Source organism: Homo sapiens, chromosome 1, assembly GCF_000001405.40.
Source record: "Homo sapiens chromosome 1, GRCh38.p14 Primary Assembly".
In the NCBI taxonomy this organism is placed as follows: domain Eukaryota; kingdom Metazoa; phylum Chordata; class Mammalia; order Primates; family Hominidae; genus Homo; species Homo sapiens.
Genome location: NC_000001.11, coordinates 22065834 through 22086098, shown reverse-complemented (window position 1 = coordinate 22086098; position 20265 = coordinate 22065834). Strand labels below are relative to the sequence as shown.

Genomic DNA, 20265 nt, shown 5'->3' with positions numbered 1-20265 from the left:
CGAGACAGGCGGATCACCTGAGGTCAGGAGTTCAAGACCAGCCTGGCCAACATGATGAAGCCTCATCTCTACTAAAAATATAAAAATTAGCCGGGTGTGGTGGTGCACATCTGTAATCCCAGCTACTTGGAAGGCTGAGGCAGAAGAATCACGTGAACCCAGAAGGCGGAGGTTGCAGTGAGCCGAGATGGCATCACTGTACTCCAGTCTGGGTGACAGAGTGAGACTCCATCTCAGATATGGTAAAGAAACAATCACAGTGAAATCATCTAAGGAAAGAAAAACCTCACTGAAACCCAGATGACAAAATCCACTGCCCATCATGACTACAAACAGAGGTTCACATATTTAGTTAATGCGTGTATATAAGACCGGTATCTGAAACTGATAAAGCCTAGAAAACAAATTTAGCAAGAATTAATCGATACTCAAAATAATAAAAATACTTAGAATTAACTTAATCAGAGGCAAAAGACTTGGATAACAAAAAAATTCAAAACTGCTGAAAGAAATTAAAGAAGACATAAATAAATGGAAACACATCCCACATTCATGAACTGGAAGACTTAATATTGTTGACATGTCAACATTATCCAAAGCAACCTACAGACTCAATGCAATCCCTATCAAAATCCCAACAAGGGATAGTAATCTTGAAACAAGGGACAATAGACAAAATAATCTTGAAAAAGAATAAAGCTGAAGCACTCCCATTTCCTGATTTCAAAACTTACTACAAGGCTACAATAATCAAAACAGTGCGGTATTGGCATAGGGAGATATATAAGACAATGGAATAGACTAGAGAACCCAGAAATAAACCCTTACATATGTGGGCAAATGATTTTTCTTTTTTTTTTTTTTTTTTAGACAGAGTCTCACTCTATCACCCAGGCTGGAGTGCAGTGGCACAATCTCGGCTCACTGCAACCTCCACCTCCCCAGTTCAAGAGACTCTCCTGCCTCCACCTTCTGAGTAGCTGGGACTATAGGCACACACCACCGCACCAGGCTAATTTTTGTATTTTTAGTAGACACAGGGTTTCACCATGTTGGCCAGGCTGGTCTTAAACTTCTGACCTCAGGTGATCTGCCCACCTCAGCCTCCCAAAGTGCTAAGATTACAGGTGTGAGCCACCGTGCCTAGCCTAGCTCAAATAATTTTTGATAAGGGTGCCAAGACCATTCAGTGGTAAAAGGACTCTTCAATAAATGGTGCTGAGAAAATGACATATTCACAAGCAAAAGACAAAGATGAAACCTTACCTAATACTATATACTAAAATTAACTCAAAATGGATAAAAGGTCTAAATGTTAGACCTAAAACTTTAAAACTCCCAGAAAACATAGGGCAAAAGATTCAGGTGGACTTGGCAATAATTTGTTTGGATATCACACCAAACCACCAAAAAATAGACAAACTTCATGAAGCTGTGAAAATTTTATACATCAGAAAATAGTATCAACAGAATAAAAACGCAACCCACAAAATAGGAAAAAATATATGCAAATCGTGTATGTGATAAGAGATTAATACCCGGAATCTACAAAGAACTCCTAAAACTTACCCCAAAAAAAAAATCCCAATTCAAAAATGGGCAAAGAACTTGATTAAACAGACCTTTCTCCAAAGATATATAAATGGCCATAAGATGCTCAACATCACTAATCATTAAGGAAATACAAATCAAAACCACAATTAGATACCACCTCACACTAATTAGGATGGCTACAATTAAAAAAAAAAAAAAAAAAAAAAAAACAGGAAATAAGTGTCGAACAGAAGAATGTGACTATATCAAACCCCACGTACTGTTGGTAGGAATATAAAATGGGACAGCCACTGTGGAAAACAATACGGAGGTTCCTCAAAAAAATTAAAAACATGATCCAACAATTCCACTTCTGGGTATATACCCCAAAAGAACTGAAAGCAGGGTGTCAACAAGGTATCTGTATACCCATGTTGATAGCAACATTATTCAAAATAGCTAAAACGTGGAAGCAATTCATAGCACCAGTATTAAAACTGGAACCCAAACATCCATCAACTTGTTAATGGATAAACAAAACTGTGATATATTCATAGAACAGAATAACACTCGGCAATCAAAAGAAACAACTACCAATACACACAACATGGACAACTCTCACAAACATTATGCTATGTAAAAATAGTCACACAAAAGACTACATATTGTATGGTTCCATTTATATGAAACCCTAGAAAAGCAAAACAGTAGAAACAAAGAAAGCAGATCAGTGGTTGCCTGGAACCAGGTCAAGGGACAGGGCTGACTGCAAAGGGAACCCAGAAATAAACACTCACATATATGGTCAAATAATTTTTGATAAGGGTGCCAACACCATTCAGTGGTAAAAGAACTCACCACAGAAAATTTGAGGGGTGATAAAAATGTTACACATTTTATTATGGTGGAGGGTCAGCAAAATGCATCACACTGAACACTTAAAACGATTTTTTTTTTTTTAAAGACGGAGTCTCACTCTGTCAGCCAGGCTGGAGGGCAGTGGCAGAATCTCGGCTCACTGCAACCTCCGCCCCCTGGGTTCAAGCAATTTTCCTGTCTCAGCCTCCCAAGTAGCTGGGACTTAACAGGCATACACCACTACACTGGGCTAATTTTTGTATTTTTAGTAGAGATGGGGTTTCACCATACTGGCCAGGCTGGTCTCAAACTCCTGACCTCAGGTGAACTGCCTGTCTCAGCCTCCCAAAGTGCTGCAATTACAGGCGTGAGCCACCGCGCCTGGCCTTAAAATGATTTTTATTGCACTACGCATCAAAAAAGCTTTCAAAAGTACTCGCCAGAAAATGTAAAGGCTTATAAATAATAAACTTTGAAATCTGAAAATACTAATTTTCAACCACAAGTAGCCATAAATTATCTTTTCTCGCCAGGCGCAGTGGTTCACACCTGTAATCCCAGCACTTTGGGAGGCCAAGGCGGGCGGATCACCTGAGGTCAGAAGTTCGAGACCAGCCTGACCAACATGGAGAAACCCTACCTCTACTAAAATACAAAAAAATTAGCCGGGTATGGTGGCGCATGCCTGTAATCCCAGCTACTCAGAAGGCTGAGGCAGAAGAATCGCTTGAACCTGGGAGGCGGAGGTTGCGGTGAGCCGAGATTGCACCATTGCACTCCAGCCTGGGCAACAACAGCAAAACTCCATCTCAACAAAAAAAAAAAATAAAAATTTTCTCTGTGCCTTTGGACACAAATGAACACAGAAGAAAACCCCTCATTTATCATGACATTATGGGTCATTGTTTTCTCTATATTCCAAATTTAATATACCATTACTTTTATGATTTTAATGTATTAAAAATTTCTCTAATCTTTACTGTCTCTCCATTTCACGTTCTCAATTAAATCCAAATAGTTCCTCGTGGTACACAGTGTAACACCACATTCCATGGAAGCAACATGTTAACTTGCAAACAGTAACAGTAACTCAAAGCACAAAGTTTAGAATTCCTACATTCTAAAGATACTCTAAAGGATATCTTTCTGAGATTTTCCTCTGGCTAACTGAGCTGATAATAAGACGGCACATAGAGAAAAGTCAGAAATTAAGATGTGCAGCCACTCTTGAAAACAAGAAATAGCACTGAGGAATTAGGTACATTTAAGGAAGAAAGTAATTTGTTCTTACAATTTGGATAGCTGACAAATGTCAATACTGTGAGCAGATAATAGTTCACTCTCAAAATATTTTCAGATACAGTTTAAAATAAGCTATCTATCGTAAGAAACTAAACATGTTATTAGACACATAAATTGAATATGCCTTCAAATATCAAGAGAGTAATAATAATAAATACTGTAAATGGCTTATGACCTTATAACCTTAGGCATATTTAGGAAACTCTAGGCTTTAAAAAGGAGCAGGTAGGGGTGAAGGGAGAGAATCAGTGGGCATGATTCCTATGAATTCATTCCCTTAGTCCCTCCCCAACCACTAATGCAGTCCCCAGTTCTCTGCAAGGTGCACGCATCAGGATTTTAGTTCAATTTGGAGCTTGTATGATGCACTCTAGTCTCACTCTACTTCATCTACTACACTGTTCACCCAGGGTACTCCAAACTCCTATTTGCCGACCCAGGTCTGGGACTGCTCCTTGGTCAAGCATCGACAATCATTATATTCAATCCTGCTAACTAATAACAAAAGGCAAGTACTTTGCTCATGTGCTAGTTTCTCAAAATGTCCACAAGAGACAGACAACTAGCAACTGTTAAAGATCAAAACAGTATAAAAGACATTAAGTTTTCACCTGCAGTATCAAAAAGTCCAAGAGTATATGGTTCTCCACCAATCATAACTGTGACTGCATAGTTGTCAAAAACCTAAAAACAAAAAAATACAACACTGTTAGTGTGCAAGGAGAGAGTTAAAATGGGACAGGACAACTCTTAAGCTAAGGCAGTGTTTCCTTGCTAAGACTTAATCGTCCCCTAGTCCATCCATCATCCTTATATAACCAATCTTGCCAACCAGTCCTTGCATGAGCTAAATGATTCCTGGAAAAAGACAAAGGATGTGTTCTGAGATTTCTGCTCTACCCCAGCAGCCTGGATAAAGAGCCAGAGAAGGTTTAGAGGTGTCACAGGAGCAGAGTCCTCTAGCTACACAAAATGAACCTGTTCAAGTTTGAAACTTTTCAGACAGTGGTCTACCTCAACATTCAATCTGATTCCTAAGAAACTACTTCTTCATAGACCATTTCCTTTTCATCTAGAAATAAAATATCCTAGATCCATGACCTTTCTTCCTTTCAGAGTCCTAGAAAAGATGAGCCTTGTTATAAACAAGCCCATTTGAGAGAAATAACGGTTCCCTCAAAGTACTCAAAGTGTCCAAGAAAAAGCTGGCAGATTATTTGCTGGGAAGTTTTTTTTTGAGACAGAGTCTCACTGCGTCATCCAGGCTGGAGTGCAATGGCATGGTCTCGGCTCACTGCAACCTCTGCCTCCTGGGATCAAGCGATTCTCCCACCTCAGCCTCCTGAGTAGCTGGGACTACAGGTGCATGCCACCACACCCAGCTAATTTTTGTATTTTTAGTAGAGACAGAGTTTCACTATGTTGGCCAGGCTGGTCTCAAACTCCTGACCTCATGATCCACCTGCCTCGGCCTCCCAAAGTCCTGGAATTACAGGTGTGAGCCACTGCACCCAGCCAGCTGGGAATTTTATGAGTAAAATTCATGTTATTGGGCACAAACTGCATGATCTAAGACATCTTCTTTAACAAGATGCTTAATATGTAAATAGACCATAAAACCCTTATCAAATTCAGTAAAGCATATGCTAATATCGGTTGTACGAAGTTATTTGTGAAAATGGGAGGTTTAACAATGCTAAATGGGAAAAGACCCAACACAAATTCTGGAGTCTTTAGAATTAATTTACAATTGAAAAGCAATGCTTTCATATACAACTATAATCTGTCAATTTACAGTAAAAATTTTAAAATTAAATGATATCTATAAAAAGAAAAGCAAAGCTTTCCAACTAGGAGAAGAATGCCACATTTTAAGACCAGCCCTACTTAACTTTTAGGTACCTACTCTGATTTTCTGACTTATGTTTTAACAGATTGTTCCAGAGCTTATTTAAATGTAAAGAAGAGAAGCAAGGGCATGAGGGAGATGACAGTTAAAGGAAAGTCGGTTCTTAAAAACAGGAACAAAGAAATTGAATGAATGTGGTTAAGCTCTCAAACCAAACAGATTATTTTCTTAAATCACACTTAAGAGACTCAAAAACAACCCTCCTTTACTAGATTGTTCATATCCAAAACTAGACTAAGAATCAGAAAAGCTGGCTTCCATTCCAAAGTCTACTTATGCTAGTGTAATTACGCTAAGTAATTAAACTTAGACTTCTAAGTCTCATCCCTAAATTGGGCCTGAGTACCCTCATCCATTAAGAGATGGGTAAGACAATATATATTGTCCCATCCAGCTCTGAATTTCTATTACTCTAGAAATGGCAAGCCCCAACTCATAGATGGGAACTTAAATGCATTCTACACCAAATCCATTTCCATATTAACTTCAACAGGTACCATGAGAACATTACTTGTGCCTCATGGTCCATTCATTTACCTAAATCGGTTCATTTAAAATTTTATTCTACTACTACTCTTCCTTCCACTCTATCACTTTTCCAGAGATGTACAACACAAACATACATATAAAACACCCACAAGCCCACTTAAAATATAACACCAGAAGATCAAAGTCATAAAAGACTCAGAAATTATGTTTACAAGTAAATAACTTCAATGGAGACTGAAACAGAAAAATTCTGATAGCTGTCCTCACTCTGAAACAAGATTCATGTACCTCTAAATGTCCCCTGTAAGTCCACTGAACCTCAAAACGTCTTCCATTTATCTTGTCTCCAAATGAGCCAATTCAAAATATCAATATGATTTTAGTGTTTAATAATACCTTCAAATTCTCCCCCCTTCAAAAAAAAAACTTTCCTTATTTTTGAGACAGGGTCTCACTACCTTTCACAAATGAGTGTTACTCTAACTCTTGTCTCTCTCTCACTTCAATATTTTTGTTATTCCCATCTTCCTTCTACCATTCCAAAGAGTTGATTTAAAAAACAGTTATGGGGCCAGGCATGGTGGCTCACGCCTGTAATCCCAGCACTTTGGGAGGCTGAGGCAGGTGGATCATTTGAGGTCAGGAGTTCAAGACCAGCCTGGCCAACATGGTAAAACCCCGTTTCTACTAAAAATACAAAAATTAGAAAGGCGTGGTGGCGGGCGCCTGTAATCCCAGCTACTCAGGAGGCTGAGGCAGGAGAACTGCTTGAACCCGGGAGGCGGAGGGTGCAGCAAGCCGAGATCGCGCTACTGCACTCCAGATAGAATGGACGATAGAGACTCCATCTCAAAAAAAAAAAAAAAAAGAAAAAAAGAAAAGAACAGTTGTGGGAGTGACCCCCAAAGGACTCTGTTGGTGTTCTCGAAACATAACAGGTCTTCTCTTCTCTGCCCCTAAGAACCAGTTTGGAGCTCCATTACTGCTAAGCGAACAGCTCCACAAGAAAAGTGGAGACACATACTACTTTCTCTCAAGTTACAGGACCTCAAATGGTATCCCAGGAGACCTCCAAGTACTGATCAATAATTGGCCAAAATATCAAAAAAAAAAAAAAAAAAGTCACCTCATTCCAAGATGTAGGGCATACTTCACCAAATTGAGACCACCACTCGTTAGAATCTTGTCTACTGGAGTTTTGCCTCCCAGCACTTCTTGCAAACCCTGTGTCACCCCTTCTGACTTTCCACTGATTTTTCAGCTGTTTAAAGTGTATATAATTTACCCATGAGAAGTCAAGATCTTTAAAAACAGGAAACAAAGGCAGACAACAGAAAAAAATTCAGTACACATAGAGAAAGCGTTTTCAAAAGGATATCAAATTTTACAACATTTTACTAACAGAAGGAAGCCTTTATACTTACAGTCGGTACATATTCCGATGGAAATTTGTTTGTTGTGTAGGATATCAGGAGACATGTTTTACCAACAGCACCATCGCCCACAACAACACACTTAATTGTCTGCATTGCTGAAATAGTTTTGTATCCACTTTAAATATTTCAAATCTGATGATGACCTGCAAAAAGATTAAAGACATTTGTTTATTTATACTTACATATGGATTTTTCTTCCTCACTTAGCAACAGGTTCAGGCACTCAGAGCAAGAAAAGAACTAGCACAATTATTATGGCTAAAAGAACCCAATAAGAGACACAATGACTTGCTATAAGTTACAATAACAAATAAGGTCCATTTCTAAGTTTCTGATCCCTGGCTATTCCAACTTCTTAAGTGTTATTTTTAAAAGGTCCAAAGTGGTGTGATAATCAGCGAATTTATTTTTATCATGAAAGAGAAGAGGCTGTATCAGAGAAAATTCCACAGTGTGCTAAATATTATTTTGTGAAAGCTGTTCTTCAGTTACACGTGCACACACACCTGTATGTATGCATGTATGTCAACTAGACTGCAATACAAAGGCCACTGCTTTAAAGAATGGTTCATGATCCAGCCTTATTCAGCCTTACTCAGGCTCTGACCAACAAGCAGCAGAGCACCACACGATCACACGGTAATTATATGAGTAACGTGAGGAACTGAACAAAGAACAGGGTGATCGCTGGCCTCAGCAGCTGTTTTAGCACCAGAATGCCTAGTCCAAAACCTACATTTTTATAATGAAAAAGTCAGATTGCTCTAAAGCATACTGACTTATAAACAGATACTATAGCTTCTCTTACTAGAGTCCTCCTCCATTTTAAGAAGCTATCAATTACAAGTACCAAAGAGTCATTAATTTGAGATGCTTTTTTTCATGTTAACATCTCTAAAGTCAGAATGTATCTTTGAGTCTCTTAGAATCATTATCAGCCATTTTTCCCCCACATTTTGACTTCTATGAAATTGGAATCTTAGATTCAATGAAATACTTTAACAGTTTTCTGAAAGAATAAAAAGAAACACCACCCAATATGTACCTAAATTTTAAGATTTATATTTAAATTAATTTAAATTATAATCCTAAAGGGGTTATAATTAAACATAAAAATACAGAACCACCTAACTCTTGGTCAGATGCCACCATGCTCCTATAGCACCATTCACAACAATTAATCATAACAATTTATAAATGCCTATTAACATCCCTGTAAATGAACCTATACTACCTCATGCACCACTATACTTCTAGCACTGAGCACTTCTAGACTGACACACTGTGAGTTGTTGATTGGATGCAAAAATCACGAAACAAAAGAACATGAAACTACATTAGTGTGAGTAACTCACATGAAATATACACTCTCCCGCTCCTCATCAAAATTATCTGCAGTATATTTTTCTTTTTTTTAGACAGGGTTTTACTCCCGTCACCCAGGCTGGAGTGCAGTGGCACAACCTCAGCTCACTGCAACCTCCACCTCCCAGACTCAAGCAATCCTCCCACCTTGGCCTCCCAAGTAGCTGGAACCACAGACGCATGCCACCATGCCCGGCTGGGTTTTTGTTTGGTTTTTGTTTTTTTAAGAGACGGGTCTCACTGTTACCCAGGCTGGTCTTGAATTCCTGGACTCAAGCAATCCACTCACCTCGGCCTCCCAAAGTCCCAGAGTGCTGGGATTACATGCATGAGCCACCGCAGCCAGCCATATTTATCCTTCTTTATTCAACTTCCTTTTATATCTCCTTTTTCCTTCTCCTTTCCCTTTTATGCACTAAGAAGCACCCATACTAACTAATACAGCATTAAAGATTAACAACCCTGATCCCTAAGATCAATCAATTACTGGTTAAATCTAAAAGCACTCAAATAATAATAGTAAGCAGCAAACACTCATACAGCATTTACTAAGTGCTATGTACTGTTCAAAACATATTACACATATTCACACATTTCATCCTCCCAAAAAGCCTATGAAGTATGTGCTGTATTATCCCTATTTTACAGATAAGAAGAGTGAGGCTCAGCAAGTAACTAAGCCAAGGCTATTCAGCCAGTAACTGGGAGAACTGTAATTTAAACCCAAGCAGTCTGACTCTCAAGTCCCTGCTTGTTGTGTGTGTGTGTGTGTGTATGTGTCAGTGCAGTGGCGTGATCTCTGCTCACTGCAACCTCTGCCTCCCGGGTTCAAGCGATTATCCTGCCTCAGCCTCCAGAGCAACTGGGATTACAGGTGCATGCCACCACGCCTGGATAATGTTTGTATTTAATAGAGACAGGGTTTCACCATGTTGGCCAGGCTGGTCTTGAACTCCTGACCTCAAGTAATCCAACTGCCTGGGCCCCTCAAAGTGCTAGGATTACAGGTGTGAGCCACCGTGCCCAACCTCAAGTCCCTGCTCTTGATAAACATTACATTACACTATACTGTCTGAGAAGTGACATTAATAAAAACAAATATAATCAGTGCTAGTGGAATGACAAGTATATATCCGTGAGTTACCAGCAATGCAAAGAGGAAAGCAAATATAAAGAAGAGGAAGCAAAAAATAGGGGCTAAGCTTATTTCCTGTTTTTCACCCTGCATATAACTACTGAATTTTATTGGGAGAAGGGAGTAAGATAAGAGTTTGTTCTTCCCCTTTCTATTTACCCACAAATCTTCCACTTCTTAGACTTCCCGACCTGACTGCTCTGCAATTTGTTACAAACTGGTTGGTTGTGAGTCCCCTGTTAAGCCTGGGTTCTGGAGTCAGAGTGGCTCTACCACACTCTAGCTATTCAACCTCTGTGTTATTCAACCTCTGTGTAGCTTGGTTTCCCCTTCTCTAAAAATGAAAACAGTACTACCTTTCTCATAAGGTAAACTAAGATAATACATGTAAAGAACTTGCAACAGTGCTTGGCATACAGTACATGCTTAGTACATGTTAATTATTAGTCTTTAACAAGTAATGGTAACTTTAAAGTCAATATAAGGAATTTTAAAACAGCAATTCCAAACTTCTTAGAAAGGAACTCATAACACTTTTTATCTCCAAGATAATTACAGTACAGTCAGCCCTCCATGTACACAGAGGCAGAACCCACAGATACAGATGGATAACTGTACTATGTAATTTTATATAAGAAACTTGAGCATTCCAGGATTGTTGTATCCTTGGAGAGTTCTGGAATCAATCCCCTGCAATATCAAGGGAAGATTATACTAATTGTTCTCAGCACAAATGTAGTCAAATGTAGAGTTACCATTACAAAGATGGTCATTTCAGAGTCAAGTTCTAATTAAGACTATTCTGCAAAGCATTTGGCATGTATTAATAATTGTTTCATGTGTTAAATAAAAACTATAGGAGGCTACCGTTGTGGACTAATCTCCTGCACTAGGCCCCAAGTGACCAGACTAAAAATCAAAACGGAGTTACTCATGCTAAAGTTTCACATCACTAAACTTAAATTTAGTTGTTATCTGACCTTCTGAGAAACAGGAGAGATGACAGCCAGTTTACCAAACAGGCCACTTTCAATCTTCAATTGGAATGATAATGAAGTTCCCTCTGCTTTAACCCTTACACAAAAAAAAGCAGCCTGAAGTAACCTGATATTAACTAATCAGTTATTTTTCTATTGTTCTGTCTTCTCCCTGTCCCTGCCTTACAAGAAAGGTAGCTCTGAAACAACTAATAGGCCCTTTGTTCTTTGCTTCCCCTTTCCTCAGCTCTTCTATTAAGCCAACCTCTTCTGCTCAACTCTGTTTTGTGGAATGAAGCACACTGCCCAACTCTAAAATCACAATAAAGCCAAGTGAGATTTAAATTTGTTGTAGTTTTGCCCTTTAACACATGTATTAAAGAGCACAGTGGCTCACCTGTAATCCTTGCACTTTGGGAGGCCAAAGTGGGAAGATCACTAGAGCTGAGGAGTTCAAGACCAGCCTGGGCAACATAGTTAAGACCTGACCTCTATTTCTTTTTTTCTTAATTTTTTTTCTTAATGTCACCAGATACTCCACAGATTGGGGTGGGTAAAGGGAGCAATCAGGGGAGAGACTTTGGGTTTTACAATATATATAAGTCAGACATGTTCATATACCCTATGTTAATCTCCTATTAAATAATGTCAAATCACTACGGCAGCAAAGAGGCCACATAGAAACAATTACCATTCTGCTAACCAGAAAAGTTATTCTGCGCTGGGCACGGTGCCTCATGCCTGTAATCCCAGCACTCTGGGAGGCCGAGGCAGGCAGATCACAAGGTCAGGAGATGGAGACCATTCTGGCTAACACGGTGAAACCCCATCTCTACTAAAAATACAAAAAATTAGCTGGGCATGGTGGCACGCACCTGTAGTCCCAGCTACTCAGGAGCCTGAGGCAGGAGAATCGCTTGAACTCGGGGGGCAGAGGCGCACTGCAGTGAGCCAAGATGGCGCCACTGCACTCCAGCCTGGGCAACACAGTGAGACTCCGTCTCAAAAAAGAAGAAAGAAAAAGAAAAGCTAAGTTATTTTGCACCAATAACTGAATCCTACCTCTTTTTAACAGTGAAGTTCATTTGTACCACAACTTAGAATTGGGGTTGGGCAACTTACAGCATAAAAAATGATTCTGCAGGGTCAGGCATGGTGGCTCACACCTGTAATCCCAGCACTTTGGGGGGACAAGGTGGGGAGATTGCTTGAACCCAGGAGTTTGGGACCAGCCTGGGAAACAGAGTGAGACCCCATCTCTACAAAAAAAAAAATTAGCTGGGTGAAGTGGCACACACCTGTAGTCCCAGTTACCAGGGAGGCTGAGGTGGGAGGATTGCTTGAGTCCAAGGCTGCAGTTGGCTATGATTGTGCCACTGCCCTCCAGGCTGGATGACAGAGCAAGACCCTGTCTCAAATATTTTTTTTAAAATGATTCTGCCAATCATAAGGAAATAAAATTGTGAAATAAGGTATATCTTCCTTCTGTCCTTCCTGGCATCTACCCCTCCAATACCCATATCTTCTAGGTTTTTTATTTTTCTTTTTTTTTTTTTGAGACAGAGTTTTGCTCTGTCACCCAGGCTGGAGTGCAATGGCGTGATCTCGGCTCACTGCAACCTCCGCCTCCAGGGTTCAAGCGATTCTCCCACCTCAGCCTCCCAAGTAGCTGGGATTACAGGCACGCACCACCATGTCTGGCTAATTTTTGTATTTTTTTAGTAGAGACGGGGTTTCGCCACATTGGCCAGGCTGGTCTCAAAATCCTGACCTCAGGTGATCCACCCACCTCAGCCTCCCAAAGTGCTGGGATTACAGGCACGAGCCATTGCACCTGGCCTCTTCCAGGTTCTTAACACTATGGGAATTCAAATATCCTTTAAGAATCTCAGAGCTATAGCACCTGAAATTTTAAGTCCACACACTACAGATTTTAAAAGGTTATGGAACCCTCTCTATGGTATCATTATGATTGGCTGGCTGCCATCTAAACTCCACCAGACAATCCCTGAGCAAACGATCTGTATGGAGGAAGGGGATACTCCCAGCTACAAATGCCCTATTTTCCCGTGCCCCATGGTTCATTCTAGGCACAGAGAGACAGCAACCTTAAGATTTGAGATTAAATATTTGCTAGTAAGTTTTACAAAAAATTTATATTCTCAATAAGATTACACCTCTTTTAAAACTATGTCAAGTATTAATAGTAACTGTGAATAAAAGGCAAGTCAAATTTTTGGTAATACACCAAATATTTGGCAATATTTGGTTTCCGTCCCCACTTCCTAGCAGAGAGCTCCTAAAAACCCTAGGAATTTCCTGAGTGCTGAGTGTCTCTTGTTTTTCATAACAAATTCACACCTGAATTTATGTTAATAAAGTGACAGGGTGGCGGTGGAAGGGATGCTAGGAAGCCTCAGGATGGGGCTGGTCACCAGAAAGGCAAAGTGACTAGAGGGATGTAACTTTCAGCCCCATGCACCAACCTCCAGAGAGGGGAGGAGGGCTAGAAACTGAGCTCTATGAAAACTCCAGAACAGAAGATTTGGAGAGCTTCCAGGTCTGTGAACATTTCAAGGTGAGGGGAAAGCAGGTCACCTGAATCCCTCCCCACCCACAACCGTGCCCTATGTATCTCTTCCATTTGGCTGTTCGTGAGTTGTACCCTTTATGACAAAGGCATAAAGGTAAGTAAAACGGCCAGGCACGGTGGTTCAAGCCTGTAATCCCAGCACTTTGGGAGGCCGAGGCGGGCAGATCATGAGGTCAGGAGATCGAGACCATTCTGGCTAACATGGCGAAACCCCGACTCTACTAAAAATACAAAAAATTAGCCAGGCGTGGTGGCAGGCGCCTGTAGTTCCAGCTACTCGGGAGGCTGAGGCAGGAGAATGGCATGAACCTGGGAGGCAGAGCTTGCAGTGAGCTGAGATCACGCCACTGTACTCCAGCCTGGGCAACAGAGCGAGACTCCATCCCAAAAAAAAAAAAAAAAAAAAAAAAGGTAAGTAAAACGTTTTCCTGAGTTCTATGAGTTGTTCTAGCTAATAATCAAACCTAAGAAGGGCCATGGGAATCCCAAAATTTGTAGTCTACTGGGCAGAGGTATAGGTAGCCTAGGCACTGCATTTGTAGCTGCTGCCTAAAGTGAGGGCAGTCTTCCAAGACTGAGCCCTTAAGCTGTGGGGTGGGAGTATCAGAATTAAACTGTTAGTATCAGAACTGAATTTTCTTTTTCTGACACCACATTCACTCTAATCCAAAACACACTAAAAGTAAAGTTGCCTTCATGTGAAATACGTTTGCCCCTGAAGTAACCCATTTTCATACTTAGGATACAAGAAAGAAGAGGCACTACAGGAATCAAGAGAATGACCCAATTTCACAATCTTCCTTATCAGTTCAACAGAAGGACTAGTCTGGTTGTAGGATTAAACAGAATAAAATCAAAACTACTTGTCTCTCCTGTCAAATCCAGCCACTTTGGAAAATGCAGCTTATATAACCTTCTGCTGTAAGTTATAGTAGCATATCTAACGTACAATTTTTTAAACACCTACCCATGCATGTGATTTTTAGGCAACCAAAAGTACTCAAACCACAGCAATGTATTCCATGCATTCACACACGTATGCAAGTGTGCTAACAAACTGTCTTGTTTGCAGAACTTCTTGTTTGCTTCTATATCACAGAAGACATGTAACAAAAAGCATACAGCTGGCCTTATATGTTTGTTAGAAATGCTTGTTCCGACCGGGTGCGGTGGCTCACACCTGTAATCCCAGCACTTTGGGAGGCCGAGGCGGATGGATCACGAGGTCAGGAGATCGAGACCATCCTGGCTAACATGGTGAAACCCCGACGCTACTAAAAATACAAAAAAATTAGCCGGGCGTGGTGGCAGGCGCCTGTAGTCCCAGCTACTCGGGAGGCTGAGGCAGGAGAATGGCGTGAACCCGTGAGGCAGAGCTTGCAGTGAGCCGAGACCGCGCCACTGCACTCCAGCCTGGGCAACAGAGCGAGACTCCATCTCAAAAAAAAAAAAAAAGAAAGAAAAAAAAAGAAATGCTTGTTCCTCAGTGCCGTAAAGAAATAGCACTTGAACATAAATTTAATTTTCTCAGCAAGGCCATTTATACCTTCTGCAGAAAGGATACACTTGCCAGCAGTTTTGCCACAAAAGTACACCGAGCAAAGGAGACAGGGTCATTTATAACCTGACGTGTCTATCCTACTGCTGTGTCCGGTTTTTATTGGCTGGAACGGGACCTCACGTTTTGTATTTGTCCTGATAGGCTAGCAACTTACAACTTTTAAAAAGAGGCAAAGAAGGCCAGGCGTGGTGGCTCACGCCTGTAATCCCAGCATTTTGGAAGGCCGAGGCAGGCGGATCACGAGGTCAAGAGATCAAGACCAGCCTGGCTAACACAGTGAAACCCTGCCTCTGTTAAAAATACAAAAAAATCAGCTGGGCGTGGTGGTGGACGCCTGTAGTCCCAGCTACCTGGGAGGCTGAGGCAGGAGAATGGCATGAACCTAGGAGGCGGAGCTTGTAGTGAGCCAAGATCATGCCACTGCACTCCAGCCTGAGCAACAGAGCGAGACTCTGTCTCAAAAAAAAAAAAAAAAAAAAAAAAAAAAAAAAAAAAAAGAGGCAAAGGCAGAGGACAACAAAGGAAGGAGGAAGTAACTTGTGGAATGCTGAGAAAGGTAAAAATACCTTTAAACAGGCTATGACCTAATGCTTGCTTGGACCAGTATAAGCATGCCAGGGCAAATATTTAGGCTAAATTGTGGGAGCTAAGAACATAAAGTACACTGATTTATTTATTACAGCTAGCAGATATTTAAGAATGTTAGCAAAGGTCTTTGAATAAATTTTGCTTTTAAGAGAAGTTACTATTTATTTCTGATTAGATGTGGGGGAAGTCTTTGAAGAGGAATCTCTACTTTACTTTTTACATGTTCAATTAAGAATACAACATTGCTTAGAAAATCCTACCCAGAGGCTGGGCACAGTGGCTCAAGCCTACAATCCCAGCACTTTGAGAAGCCAAGGAAGGTGGATTGCTTGAGGCCAGGAGTTTGAGAACAACCTAGGCAACGTGGCAAAACTGCGTCTCTACCAAAAATACAAAAATTAGCTGGGCATGGTGGCATGCGCCTGTGGTCCCAGCTACTTGGGAGGCTGAAGATCATCCGAGCCCAGGAGACGGAGGTTGCAAGTAAGCCAAGATTATGCCACTGCACTCCAGCCTGGGCAACACAGGGAGATGCTATCTCAAAACAACAACAACAAAAACAAACAAACAAAAAAACCTCTACCAAGGCTGGGTGTGGCGGCTCACGCCTGTAATCCCAACACTTTGGGAGGCCAAGGCAGGAGGATCACTTGAGCCCAGCAAATCAAGACCAGCTTGGGCAACATGACAAAATCCCATCTCTACAAAAAATTAAAAAAAAAAAAAAAAAAAAAAAAAAGTGGTGGCATGTGCCTGTAGTCCCAACTACTGGGGAGGCTGAGGGGAGAAACCACCTGAGCCAGGAAGGTCAAGGCTACAGTGAGCTGTAGTCACACCACTGCACTCCAGCCTGGGTAAGAGAACAAGACCCTGTTTCGGCCAAGCGTGGTGGCTCACGCCTATAATCCCAGCACTTTGGGAAGCTGAGGCGGGCAGATCACTTGAGGTCAGGAGTTCGAGACCAATCTGGCCAACATGGTGAAACCCAGTCTCTACCAAAAATACAAAAATTTGCCAGGTGTGATGGCGCTCACCTGTAGTCCCAGCTATTTGGGAGGGTGAGGCAGGAGAATTGCTTGAACCCAGGAGGCAGAGGTTGCAATGAGCCGTGATTGTGCCACTGCACTCCAGCCTGGGGACAGAGTGAGATTCTGTCTCAAAAAAAAAAAAAAAAAAAAAAAAGGAATAAAATGGAGATTACAATAAGATGTTTTCCTCAAAATACTCAAGACTTGTAGATCTACTCATTCATCTACTCATTCATTCAACAAGCCTTTACTAAGTACCTACCACGTGCCAAGCTTTGTCCTATACGTAGGCACACCCCACAATTCACATAACAAAGTTCACGCCCTCTTGGAGCAACAATTCCAGTGGGGTACACAGACAATAAACAAGCATCACCCCCTACATATTCTTCCTTCAATAATACTACCAACTGACATCCTTACATGTAACTTTCTCATTCTAGTCTCTTAACTAAGAAACAGCAGGTGGCCAGAACACAGCACAAGCTGAAGCCAGCATGGCACCTGAGCACAAGACCAAGTTCTCCAAGAACCTGCTGTACATGAAGTTCATGCAAAGAAGACTGGACTCAGAAACTAAGAAATGACTAGAAGAGGAAGAAAATAAAATTAGTTAAGAGCACTGGTACTCAGATTTGCCAGAGCTTAATAAGTAAAGAATTTCATAACAGAAGAGCAGCATCTCTTGTTATGTGAAGATCATTTCTATGGAAGGAATTTCATTCATCAGATTTACTCCTGAGGTTGAGAAATTAGTGCTTCAGGTGAATACTAAGAACAAAGCAGAAATTGAAGATGAAACAGTGGAATTTTACGTGTCAGATGAAGAAGAAATGGCTAGAAGAAATGGCTAGAATATGAGACCTTGGTGGGGACAACAGGAAAAAAGTCTGCCAAAAAGGGAGATCAAGCCAATTATGAAGACAATGAAAATGGAGACCTACAACTAATTAAAGCAAAGAAAATGTTCTTAAAGCCCCGGGATCAAAATACAGAACTTAAGAGATGGCTCAGAGATGCCTTGTGAAAGTTAGCAGCATGTTTTGTAACTAGTTCTGATGGTGCCTCTATAGTTATTAATACTATAACGTTTATTTGTAAAGAGATGTATAATTTTGGAAACATGCTGTTTTTGAAACAGATGTGTAATGGATGTCATACATCCTCTGCTAAATGGTACTGAGTGGATTTTTAGCCCTTGATCTTCAAATATACAGGTTTCCTAAAGATTTTTTTTGTTTTTGAGACAGGGTCTCACCCTGTCACCTAGGCCAGAGTGGAGTGGCTCAATCACAGCTCACTGCAGCGTCAACCTTCCTGGGCTCAAGGGATCCTCCCATCTCAGCCAAATCTTGGGTGTCTGGCCTTACAACTCACCCTATTTTCAAGCTACCCTTCCACTACAAAACCTCTCCTTCTCTGAGACCTTTCCTAACTAGTCTAGGTATTGAAACTGCCCCAACCGCCTGACCACCTGCTATGTTTGTGTCCCAAAATTCATAAGCTGACACCTGATCACCAGTGTGACGTTGTTAGAAGGTGAGACTGCTGGGAGGTGATTAGGTCCAGAGGGCAGAGTCCCCTCATCCCCAAATGGGATTAGTGGCCTTATAAGACACCCCAGAGAGCTCCCCTACCCCTTGCACCATGCAAGAAGACACAGCAAAAAGGAACAAACTGGTATGGGCGCAGTGGCTCAGGCCTGTAAACCCAGCACATTGAGAGGCCGAGGCAGGCGGATCATCTGAGGTCAGGCGTTCGAGACCAGCCTGGCCAACTTGGTGAAACCCTGTCTCCACTAAAAATACAAAAATTAGCCGGTGGCGCATGCCTGTAACCCCAGCTACTCAGGAGGATCGCTTGCTTGGGAGGTAGAGGTTGCAGTGAGCTGAGAGCACCAAAGCGAACTTGGGAGGCGGAGGTGGGAGTGAGCTAAGATCACCACTGCACTCCAGCCTGGGAAACAGAGTGAGACCGTCAAAAAAAGAAAAAGAAGAAAAGAAAAAACCAGCATCTATGAACCACAAAGCAGGCCCTCACCAAACATCAAATACGCCAGCACCCCAATATTGTCCTTCCCAGGATGCAGAACTGTGATAAGTTTCTGTCGTTTACAAGCTACCCAGTCTATGGTATTGTTAAAGAAGCCTAAACGGACTAAACAGAACCCATGGCAAGGCCCTTCTTCTTGCCTTCTCAAACCTTCTCATGCTCCGTTCCCCTGTACTCTCCATGCTCTAGCTACACAGGTCTCTTACCTCCCCAGACGTGCCAGGCTCTGTCCTGCCTTCAGGTCTTTTTTGGCCCAATCTCTGCTCACCACAACCTCCGCCTCCCAGGTTCAAGCGATTTTCCAGCCTCAACTTCCTGAGTAGCTGGAATTACAGGCATGTGCCACCACACCCGGCTAATTTTGTATTTTTAGTAGAGACGGGGTTTCTCCATGTTGGTCAAGCTGGTCTCAAACTCCCAACCTCAGGTGATCCGCCCACCTCGGCCTCCCAAAGTTCTGGAATTACAGGTGTGAGCCACTGCACCCGGCCATGCCTTGAAGTCTTTACCAACAACACTCCTGCCCCTGCTCTTAAAGCTTTTGGCTTCTCACTCTCCAGATCTCAGCTCGAATCATCATCTCCTCCAAAAGTCCTCCCCTGACCACATTATCCAGGGCAATAGTACCCTCCCTCCTTACACTCCTTTCATATTACCTTATTTCCTTTATTGTAAGGTCATAATCTATAATTATCTTGTTTATCTGTCATATGGCAGTAGAAACAGACTTTTAAAAATAAGGAAATCTCCATAAAGGTAATAACTGCTGTATGCCCACAAAATAGCTCAATACCAGTCACACAGGACACACTCACCGAATAAATGAATCACAGGAGTAATTAACCATGTTATTTTTAGTCACATATGCTTACTTTATTCTAATAGATTTTTTTTTTTGGAGACAGGGTATCACTCTGTCACCTAAGCTGCAGCACAGTGGCGCAATTTCAGCTTACTGCAACGTCTGCCTCCCACGCTCAAGCGATTCTCCTGCCTCAGCCTCCCAAGTAGCTGAGACTACAAGCATGCACCACCTCACCTCACCCAGCCCCTCTAATAGATTTTAAGCTCTCTGAGAGAACAACTAGGCTTATACTTCTTTATTCCCCGTCCCAATGCAGCCAATACAATACTGAACAGTATATTAAGGGCAAGAAAAAATAAAATTCTTAAATGTCTTTTACAACTTTGTTGACTAAAGTAGTAATATGAAAAAAACGCCCAGGCACAGAGGCCTGTAATCCCAACACTTTGGGAGGCCAAGGTGGGTCAATTATTTGAGGTCAGCAGCTCAAGACAAGCCTAGCCAACATGGTGAAATCCCGTCTCTGCTAAAACTACAAAAAATTAGCCAGGCATGGTGGCGCACACCTGTAATCCCAGCTACTCGGGAGGCTGAGGCTTGAGAATCGCTTGAACCCGGGAGGAGGTTGCAGTGA

At 41.6% G+C, this 20265-nt stretch overlaps 1 protein-coding gene and 1 pseudogene across 3 annotated transcripts in view, besides 1 other annotated feature; one reads left to right on the top strand and one right to left on the bottom strand.

Moving 5' to 3' along the window:
• The window catches only part of CDC42 (cell division cycle 42), a 48652-nt gene that overhangs the window by 15262 nt on the left and 13125 nt on the right, over positions 1–20265 (bottom strand). For 2 of the 3 annotated variants that reach the window (NM_001791.4, NM_044472.3), the window contains exons 2-3: positions 7516–7670; positions 4305–4377 (exon numbers count right to left, since the gene is read on the bottom strand). In NM_001791.4, the coding sequence (NP_001782.1) occupies positions 4305–4377; positions 7516–7620 (178 nt within the window). In that variant the 5' untranslated portion in view covers positions 7621–7670. Of the gene's footprint in view, positions 1–4304; positions 4378–7515; positions 7671–11879; positions 12006–20265 lie in introns of all 3 variants that reach the window. The other variant, NM_001039802.2, reaches the window with a different exon arrangement.
• Positions 8165–8244: a silencer, noted in NCBI's record as "silent region_397". NCBI's record gives its function as "represses an Ori minimal core promoter by ATAC-STARR-seq in GM12878 lymphoblastoid cells {active_cell/tissue: GM12878}" and the evidence as "EXISTENCE:reporter gene assay evidence [ECO:0000049][PMID:35858748]".
• MPHOSPH6P1 (MPHOSPH6 pseudogene 1) lies at positions 17260–18011 on the top strand (annotated as a pseudogene).